The sequence below is a fragment of the Homo sapiens genome, chromosome 12, assembly GCF_000001405.40.
Source record: "Homo sapiens chromosome 12, GRCh38.p14 Primary Assembly".
Taxonomy (NCBI): domain Eukaryota; kingdom Metazoa; phylum Chordata; class Mammalia; order Primates; family Hominidae; genus Homo; species Homo sapiens.
The window spans coordinates 74,655,017-74,666,435 of record NC_000012.12 but is presented as its reverse complement, the minus strand read 5'-3'; the positions used below and the strand labels follow the sequence as shown (position 1 = coordinate 74,666,435).

The 11,419-nt window shown below is 33.1% G+C and overlaps 1 pseudogene; it reads left to right on the top strand.

The window, feature by feature from the left end:
- LOC387869 (microtubule associated protein 1 light chain 3 beta pseudogene) lies at window positions 2,202-2,868 on the top strand (annotated as a pseudogene).
- Window positions 2,869-11,419: the final 8,551 nt, after the last annotated feature.

Below are 11,419 nucleotides of genomic sequence, written 5' to 3'. Positions count from 1 at the left end.
GATTCTGAAAACATTTTCCATTCTTTGTCCCCTATTTTATTTGTCTCATAGCTAATGATTTCTCTAAGAAGTGACAAACTTGTCTTTTTTCTCACCTCCAATTTGTTGTCTGAGGCTTCACTGGGAAGCCATGAAGACCTTTGATTCTGGACAGAAATACTATACCAGTTATCCTGAATCTAACTAGAAAAAGTGAAAAGAAAAAGAATGCATTAACATTGTCATCCAGCTCAGTCACCTTGGGTAACTATGAGACTAATACAATGTATTTAATCTCTTCTCCCTGTAGAGAGCTGATCTTTGTATGAAATCCTACTTCATCTTCCCAGGTATGTTCTCAAGGACATTAAGCTGTCCATGCTGGAAAAATACCAACTAGAAATGTGTGCTAGTAATGTTTTAGCCTAGATAATTTTTACATAAATTTTACATAAATTGTTAGTAGCATATGTAAAGATAAAGAGTAAAGTGTAAATGTAAGTAGAACTAAAAATATAGTCAATCAAGAGTGAAACCAAATGTTGCTGACTCAAAACCTTATGTTCCTCCAACTTACTAGTTGTGATTTCCTACACAAATAAAGTCTGATTGGATAGCTTCTTCCAGATTGCCCCATTTTGACCAACTTCTCAAAGAAGTACAAAGTGGAACTTGAATATTCTGTGTGGGCATTTTTAAAAATTTATTTCACATACAAACACATACACACATACTTTCTATGTTTAAAATCTGAAATGAGAAAAATATTCCTTTGTGGTCACTTTTGGGTTTGACTTTCTCAATATACAGAAAAACATCATCTAGTTTCCTCAACTGTAAAACAGGGTTAGTATTCATAGTGTTGTGCCAAATACAGTCATGAACTGGATAATGATATTTTGGTCAATGACAGAACAAATACACTACAGTGATCCCATACTATTATAATGGAGCTAGAAATTTTCTATCACTTAGTGATGTTGTAGCTGTCTTAATCTCATAGGGCAATGCATTACTCACATGTTTGTGGTGATGGGGTGTAAACCTACTACACTATCAGTCATATATAAAAGTACAGCACACACAATTGTGTACAGTACTCAATGCTTGATAATGACAATAAATGACTGTTACTGGTTTATGTATTTACTATACTATACATCTAGCATTATTTTAGAGTATATTCCTTTTACTTATTAAAAAATGTTAACTATAAAATAGCCTCAGACAAGTCCTTCAGGAGGTATTCCAGAAGAAGGCAGTGTTATCATAGGATATGACAACTCCACGTGTGTTACTGATCCCGAAGACCTTCAAATGGGACGAGATGTGGAGGTGGAAAACAGTGATACTGATGATTCTGACCCTGTGTAAACTCAGGTAGTTGAATGTGTTTGTGTGTTAGATTTTACAGAAGTGTTTTAAAATAAAAAATAAAACTTCAATATTGAAAAAAGCTTATAGAAGAAGGATATAAGGAAATAAAACATTTGTTTATTTCTATAAACCATGTTTAGGTTTTAAGCTAAGTGTTATTACAAAAGAAAAAACAAATTAAAAAGAAATAAAAAATTTCTATAGAAAAATGTTATAGTAAGCTAAGGTTAATAAAAAAATTTAAAACAAATTTAATGTAGCCTAAGTGTTCAGTGTTTATAAGGTCTGCAGTAGTGTACAGCAATGTTCTAGGCCTTCATATTCACTCACCACTCACTCACTGACTCACCAAGAGCAACTTTCTGTCCTGCAAGTTCCATTCATGATAAGCGCCCTATACAGGTGTGTCAATTTTTATCTCTTATGCTGTATTTTCACTACGCCTTTTCTATATTTAGATATGTTTAAATACATAAATACTTACCAGTGTGTTACAATTGTCTACAGTATTCAGTACAGTAACATGCTGTATACGTTTGTGGCCAAGGAGCAATGGGCTATACCCAATAGCCTAGGTGTGTAGTAGTCTATACCATGTAGGTTTGTGTAAATACTCTATGATGTTTGCCAAAGACAGAATTGCCTACTGACGCATTTCTTACAAAGTACCCCTGTCATCAAATCGGGCATGACTGTATGTGCAAAGCCCAAAAAACAGGGACTTGTACACAGATATGCTATGTAAAAGGTTAGTTATTGTCATTATTACCATCATCATTATCAGTGGGTTTATATTTCCTTGTTCCGTATGATGTCTCCACAGCGTTTGAAGAAAATGAGATGGCGAGTTGGATCTGTCACCGCCACCGCTGCCGCCCCCGCCCCGGGAGCCGCCAGGACCCTCGGGTTGCTGCCAGCGCGGGCCAGATCCCCGCACCATGCGGTCGGAGAAGACCTTCAAGCAGCGCCGCACCTTCCAACGAAGAGCAGAAGATGTCCGACTCATTCTAGCGCAGCATCCAACCAAAATCCCAGGGATAATAGAAGGATATAAGGGTGAGAAGCAGCTTCCTGTCCTGAATAAAAGGTTCCTTGTACCTGACCAGGTCAACATGAGTGAGCACATCAAGATAATTACAAAGCGCTTACATCTCAATGCTACTCAAGCCTTCCTCCTGTTGGTGAACGGACACAGCATGGTGAGCGTCTCCACACCAATCTCAGAGGCGTATGAGAGTGAGAAGTATGAAGATGGATTCCTGTATATGGTCTATGTCTCTCCCAGGAGACATTTGGGATGAAACTGTCGGTGTAAAACTAGAAAAATTCATCTATTCTATAATTTTTTCAACGCTTACCACGGAAGAAAAAGGGATGTTGCCAACTGAGATCGATCAGTTCATCTCATCACAGATCAGCAAACAGTAGTGTTCCCACCTAGGAGTGTTAGGAAATTGTGTTTGTACTTCAAGCAGAAAAACTAAGCTGTAAGTGAGCACGTTCAGCTTTGGAAACTATGTTATTTAATGTAGGTTAGCTGTTTTCAAATTTTAAAAGTTTAAAAATAAAACTTTGCATAAAAAGAAAAAAAGGAAGGAAGGAAAGAAGAAAGAAAGAAAGAGACAGAGAGAGAGAAAGGAAGGAAGGAAGGAAGGAAGGAAGGAAGAAGGAAGGAAGGAAGGAAGGAAAGAAAGAAAGAAAGAAAGAAAGAAAGAAAGAAAGAAAGAAGAAAGAAAGAAAGAAAGAAAGAAAGAAAGAAAGAAAGAAAGAAAGAAAGAAAAAGAAAGAGAAAGAAAGAAAAAGAAAATGAGATGTAGTCTCTTCCCCTGCCTTCGTGATTAGGGAAGAGCATGCTGATGTGGAAGTGAGACACAGAGCATTACAGAGGGAAAACTTCCCTAGAGAATCTCCTGGACCTGCTGTGCACTGCACACATGAAAATAAACTTTTATATATTGCTGAGATTTGGAAGTTATTATTACTACATAACTTAGAATTTCTGACTAATAAATGATTTTATTAGCAATGAAATATAGCTTCTTAATAAGTGACTACAGCCTTTGCCAGTTTCAAGCTATGTGTCCCTAGGAACCTCTGTATTGCCCTAATTTTTATCTATTAAAAAGAAAGTGAGACTATTATTGTAAAGGATTAATATGACAGTAATATAAACTTTACAGAAATGTAATATGATAGGATGCTTCACATACAGGAACCCCTTATCAGTTATTACTATTTTTAATATTAAATTTGTTATTTTTAGATGAACTAAATACAACATAGGCCTTTTGATAACCAGTACATATAGTGGAGAATTCAGTTAAAACTTTTTGAAAACACAATCTTAACTGTATCTTGTGGGATTTGGTAGGGTTCTAAATTGGAATAATTTCTATGGAGTAAAATTTGACAATATCTATGTACAATAGATATACAATTCTTTGTACAATGTCTATGTACATACATAGATATTCATTGAAACATTGTTTGTAATAGCATAGGAAAAAACAAGTAAGCCTAAATAGCTATCAACAGGGAATTGGTCTATGAAATAATGATAAATGCACATATTAAAACACTATCAGCCATTTTAAAGATAAGGTTATTCATACATAATAATACGGAAGGATCTCAAAAGATATATTGTTGAGTAAGAAAGGTAAGGTGTGGAACAAGGTATAATACAGTGCTATTTATATGAGCAAAAGGTATACATGCCCAGAAGGTCTTTGAGGCTAGAGGATGCACAAGTGACTGATAACACCATTGCTGTGGAAATAAGTTGTGTTTTGAGAAAAGTAATTAAGTGAAGGATGTATTTTTTATTGTATTTCATAAGGCAGGTTTTTTTTTCATTTTTACTGTACAAACATATCACCTATAAACAAAATAGACAAAAGGAAAAATGATCCATCAGACATACTTTGTCATTAAACAGTTCTGTTTTTAAAGGGTTATTTATGGGTAAGTGAATTGAGTGACATTGACACAAGGTTTTTGATATACTTGAGGGTGATTTTGATATAAAATCACAATTAAAAGACAATTTAGAAGAATTATTTTTCAAGTTTAAAACTAAATATTAAAATCATTAAACTTAAAAAATATTTTTCTGTGCCTTTAACTCATTCTACAAATTTTTTATTCTATACATAAATTTATTGGATTTGAATAATGATTTCTAAGGGGGCTTTAAGGAATAGTTAGTCTTGTTTCCAGATTTAATTACATATTTCAAATTTTAAACAATAAGGTTCTAAAGTTATTATATTAGATTTCTTTTTAACATATTTCAGTTCTCTAGCAACAACAACAACAAACTTCCTAAATATTTAAACTTCTCTTATATGTCTAATAGATCAAACTTAAATTACTAATTAAACTTTTAGTTTGGCTTCAAGTTTGTAGTCTAGATCAATTACTCAATTACCTATTTTTCAACTGTCTTTAAAAGACTATCACTTTAATAATCAAACTGTCTTAAACAATATTTTTACAAGAATACCATATATTGCATTGAAGTAGAATTAAGAGCAAATTGAATATTTTACATCTGCAGAAAGGTGAAGTAACTTCACTCAATTCATATAATTAGATGAAGCAAAATCGGATTCAGGTTTGTCTGATTCTAATTTCTATAACATTTACACTATGCTACCTGCCTTTTCTGATAATAGCAGAAGCTGACAAAAAAGAATTGTATTAACTCATGTATTCATATGTTCAAGGAATAGGAATAGCTTCAAGTGTAATTGGATAATGGGGCTCAAAAGATATCTTCAGCATCCAGTTTTACCCACATTCTTTTGCGTCTCTGTTTCCATTGTGTTGGCTTCATTTTTAGCTGCAGAAACAAGCCTTGCATCTACCTATCATTTAATCAAATGCTGGTGTTTAATTTGTCTGAGTTTTCCCAGCAAAGACTGCATCACTGTCTCTTGCTCTATTTTGGCATTATCCACATCTCTGAAATATAGCCAGTGAGATAAACTATACAGATTCACATAGGTAAATCCAGGCAGGGTAACCTTTGGAATGAGAGGGTTCTATTTTACCAAATCCTATGTGTTGAGAGTGCCAGTGTGTTTTTCTACAATAGAAATGTTAGGTTTTAGGAGGTGCAAATAGGGGGACAGCTGAAATTTGCAAAGGAGATTCTGAAGTGGATTCTGCCCTACATCCACTATATCTGTCATTTGAAAACTTGTCAGAATTATAGAATCACCTATTAATGTTAAAATGTTTGCTTTAAGTTTAATAAACGAATGCCTTTAGTGTGATCTGATTAGCTGTGGGTGGGAGGTGTGAGCTAGTGGCCTATACTGGGGCAATCCAAGTTTTCCAGAGTAAATGACGGTTGATTGGCAGAGAGCTGGTTTGAAGAATCTTAAAAGAGAGAACTGGACTGTATGAAAGATGCAATAAAATTTAGTCACGTGACATTTGGTTATGGAGAAGTCTCTCGGCAGATAGTCAAACCCCAGTTAAGCAGCTAAGTATTGAATCAAAGCTAGGAGATTGTGATACTAAGAATATTAAGTAGGCATGGCCAGTGTTGACGGAATTGGACTTCTTGGCATACAGTTAAGACAGAGACTAAGGACAAAGTTCTAGGAACCAAAGCTCTATGAGGCAGTGACCAAGAATTGGCTTGACACCAAAGCAGACTTCACAGCTAGATTGGAAGCAGCAGATTTTATAAAAATGAGAAGTTGGGTTTTAACTTAAGATTCTCCTACCTAAGGTAAGTAACAGTTCTAATAAAAGTGGCTCTAGGCAAGTGGCTTCAGACTTGAAGAGACGGCTCCAGAGAAGTAGAACCTGAAAGCTTCCAATCGAGGTGCCAGCTTAGAACATTGTTTTCCTTTCTTTTCCTAGAACACCGGCATACTTATATTTTATGTCCTCATAATTTAAATAATCAGCTGAATGTACATGGTTGTGTTCATGTGTTCTTGTGCAAATTACCCTTTTGACTATCAGCATAGGCAACAATAAATCAACTAAATAACATTGATGTTAAATAATTAATTTTCAGAATTTAAGAAATGTTAATGCATAAGTACAAGAATACCTGTAGTCGTACACAAATTACAGAGTACACAAATTTTGTACACAAATTAGATTAGTACACAAATTTGTGTACTAAGTTGTACACAAATTAGTCTAAAAATTAATTTAGTTTAAAAATTAATTCATTGTTGAAAATAACAAAGCTGATTCTATTCTTTAAAAAAAAGAAATCTGGCCAAAATTGCAGATACAGCTTGGAGCATCTTATAGTTGCAGAAGGTAAGAAAATTATTTTTTCACAAAAAACCCACAAGGATGCAGAGGGGATATGTCAAAGGGGCATAGGGGCCAATTGAAAGAGCTCCCAATGGCCCAAGCTGAAACAATTTAGATAGCAAAATAAATAAAGTATTACAAGATTATAAACCAAAGCATAAAATAATTATCCATGAATCTATTCTGATATAAAACACTGAATAAGCAAGTAACTAGGAGAGAATAGACAAATCTGTGAATCTGTGAAGAATTATAATAATTTATGTGGATACTATGCTCTCAAGCAGGTGTAGCATAACTTCCCATTTTTTAAGTGTTGGTGTACATAGTGACTTCCATCTAAACACTACAGTATGGGAAGGGGGGGAAGAGTAATTTGATAGTAGAGAAACTGACAAACGCTTCCTCAGCCAGGTGACTATGGTGTTTCTCCCAAGAACAAGTGACATCAAACTAATGAGAAAAGCAATTAATTGTGACAAATACACCACACTAGTAAGTTAATAATAGGGGAAAGTGTTAATAGGTGTGATGGTACATAGAAACTCTCTGTATTATCCTTGCAATTATTTTTATAAATCTAAAACTATTCTAAACTAAAAAGTTTATTTCTTTCAAAAATACATGAAAGCAACTTTTCACAGAAAACCACTAATTTTAAAAAAAAAAAAAAGAAAAAAAAAGCTCTGCCAAAAGAAGATGTTTACTCGCCAAACCAAATTCCTTGTTGGACCTAACTTTAAATTTAGCCCTTATTTTATTATTCAGTATTTAAATGATATAATTTGACACTTATGACAACCAACTTTAAAAAAATTAGTTATTCTTTGGCACATAAAAATGACCCTGCCTTTATGAAAAAATATTTAAGGAGAAAAAAATACAATAGACACTGTCAAAATTTCTCTAAATCAATTAATTAAACTGAAAAATAGAGAAGCTTGAAGACTAAACCATTTTTTTCAAAAATTGGAAAAAAGTGATTTTATCTTACAGTACTGCAAATGCCTGCAAGTTTTTGACTAGGTTTCTTCTATATTTACATGCCTGTGAATTGCAATAGTTTCTTCCTCTTACGTACTAGCTTATTCTTCTAAGTGGTCCTAAAAACAATCTTAGTAATAACCATTAATCCTTGAAAAATTAAGGATCCCATGAACCTTAATTAAGGTATACCTACTTTAAATGTCCTCATACCTTACTCTTTTCTAGAACATTATTGTGCCGATGATTTTTAATATGTGTTAATTTTATAATTTTTGAAATTAATATTTTAGAACAATTTTATATTTACAGACATATTGCTAATTTAGTACATATATCTTGCTCCCAGTTTCCCCTACCTTTAACATTGTACATTATCATGATACATTTGTTACAATTAGTGAACCCATATTGATACATTATTAGTAACTAAAGTCCATACATTATTTAGATTTTCTTAGGTTTTACCTAGTGTTTTTTTCTTTACCAGGATTCCATCCAAAGTCCATTACATTTTCCTTGGATATCATCATGTTTTCTTTGGCTCATCATTTTTGTTTTTATTAAATTGATGGTTTTAAAAAACAGCTTTACTGAGGTATAATTTATATGTTAAAAACTGCACATATATAATGTATAAAATTTGATGAGTTAGGACTTGCACATATATTGTGAAACCACCACCATAATCAAGGGAATAAGCATATCTATTACCTCCAAAAATTTCCTCCTGCCCCTTGTTTTGTTTTGTATATGCATGTGTATGTGGTAACAGAACTCAACATGAGTTCTACCTTCTTAAGTTATTATTAAAGTGCACAATATAGTGCAGTATTCTAATTATAGTCACTATATTGTACAGCAGATATTTAGAACTTATTCACTTGCATAACTGAAACTTTATTGAAGAACAACTCCCCATTTCCACCCAGCCTCGAAACTATCATGCTGTGTTCTACTTCTGAGTTTGAATATTTCATTTTAGATTTTTTTTTGCTTTGTTCTGTTTATTTTTTTGATAGGAGAGGAGGAGGTAAAAACAAAAATTGGGTTTGTACTCCAAAGACTTTTCCCAAAGATTGGTGATTCATTTCCTTTTCACATTATCATGGATGAACACTTATCCTTGCTTTCAGGATGGTTTGAATTCAAGGTAATGTGTTTAATATGTGTTTTTCTGAAATCCAGTGTATTCACTGGATTCAGGAAAGAACACAGGGTGTTCTTTGTGTTCTTGTTCTTATATGAAAGGAATTGGCACTTCAGCTTCAGAACAAATTTTAAAATCACAAATCCAATTTGTCTGTGATTTGGATCTACGCTAATTACTAAGGCACCATTCAGCAATATTGGCTTCAAACATTTAAATACCCTGTGAAACTGCAATTAATTAAGGGTCTGCTGATTCTAAAAGCTATACAATGAATAAGGAATGAGGGAAGAATTATAAATCTGAATGCTAAGTTGAGAGCAAAATGTCAATAATCTCCTCACTTTTGCAGTATCTATAAATAGAGAGAGTGGATAGGAATTATATGGATAACATTAAATAAAAAGTACATAAAAACTTGGAAGTTATTTTTCATTAAATTTGCCGTATATTACAGTTCAATAAAATGCCTGTGAGGAAAATAACTACTTAAGGATGAAGACTAGTTACATTGTTGCTATTCAGAATTTTTGAGAGTGAAAGACAGAATATTGGTCAACTTTCCTGGTTTAAACTTACATGTTTTAAAACGTGATTTTGTAACTTAAACATCTGTGTTATGTCTTAAAAATTTAACATGAGTTCTACCTTCTTAATTATTAAATTGCATAATATAGTACAGTAGTATAATTATAGGTGCTCTACTGTGCAGCAATACAGTACAGTATTTGTGCTTAATATTATTAAAGGACAAATTAAAATTATAGAAAGTAAAAAATGTCATAACACATCTAAATAGACATTTGTTTGTAGTTTTTTTTAATACAAAAACCTTTTTCCATATACTATAAAAATTCCCTTTTTGTGGGCACAGCCGTGATGGTAATGAGAAGCTGGTTGGTACCCAGAACTTATACAAATTCTATAAGTGGGAAACTTATTCTTTCCATTTGGATTAACTCTTACTTTTTTTAAGTAAAATTTTTATTTTTATTTAGCTTTTCTCTACCAATTTCTGTGGTATATTTGTAGCCTCTTTCCATGTATCTGGAGTGATAATAGTACCAAGTTTCTATTCATATTTTTCATGCACCATTCTTTCACCAAAGGCTTCCTTCATCACAGAAGCAGCAGCAGCTTGAAGACAGTAACTGAGTTTAGCTATTTTAGATGGCTTATACAAATGGAATCATGTCCTTCAGTCACTGGCTTGTTTTACTTAGCATAGGGTCCCCCAGATGCATTCATGTTGTTGCATATGGCAGGATTTCTTTCTTTTTTAAGACTGAATAATTTTCCATTTTATGTATATATATATATGTATATATATATATGTATATATATGTATATATATGTGTATATATATATACACACACACATATATATTCACACACATACACATATACATAAAGAAAATGTGATATATATATTTTCTTTATTCATCTGTCAGTGTGCAGTTAGTTTGTTTCTATATTTGACTATTGTACATAATGCTGCAATGAAGATAGAAGGGCAGATCTCTTCGAGGTCCTGGTTTCAATTCTTTTTGATATATACTCAGAACTGGGATTGCTGGATCATATGGTAGTTCTATTTTTAATTTTTTGAGGAAACTCCATATTGTTTTCATAGTGGCTGTACCATATTACATTCCCACAACAGCGTACAAGGGTCTCAATTTCTCCATATTCTCACCAACACTTACCTTTTGTTTTTTGGTAATAACCATACTAATAGGTGTGAGGTGATATTGTAATTTTGATTTTCATTTCTCTGATAATTAGTGATATTGAACACGTTTCATATACCTGTTGGCCATTTTGCAGATAACATGATTTTTTTAATTTTTAAATTTATTTCTATAGTTTTTTTTTAACCTTTAAGTTCAGGGGTACAAGTGTAGGTTCACTACATAGGTAAACTTGTGCCATAGGGGTTTGTTATACAGATTGTTTCATCACCCAGGTATGAAGCCTAGTACCCTTTAGTTGTTTTTCCTGATCCTCTCCCACCACCCTGCAAAAGGCTCCAGTGTGTGTTGTTCCACCCTATGTGTCCATGAGTTCTCATCATTTAGCTCCCATTTATATGTGAGAACATGCCATATTTTATGTGTAGAAAACCTTAAAGCCTCAACAAACGAACTGTTAGAACTAATGAATGAATTCAGTAAACTGCAGTACAAAATCAACATACAAAAATCGGTTGTGTTTTTTACACTAACAACAAACTATTTGACAAGGACATTAATAAAACAATCGCATTTTCAATAGCATCAAAGAGAATAAAATACTTAGGGATAAATTTAATCTAAGAGGTAAAAGGTTAGCACACTGAAAGCAATAAAACATTGATAAAAAAATTAAAGAAGACATAAATAAATGAAAACATTCTGCATCCAAGAATTGGAGACTTAATATTATTAAACGGTTCATTCTACCCAAAGTGATTGATACGGTTTGGCTGTGTCCTCACCCAAATCTCAACTTCAATTGTATCTCCCAGATTTCCCATGTGTTATGGGAGGGACTTGGAGGGAGGTAATTGAATCATGGGGGCTGCTCTTTCCCCTCCTATCTCGTGAGATCTGATGGGTTTATCAGGGGTTTGTGCTTTTGCTTCTTCCTCATTTTCTCTTGC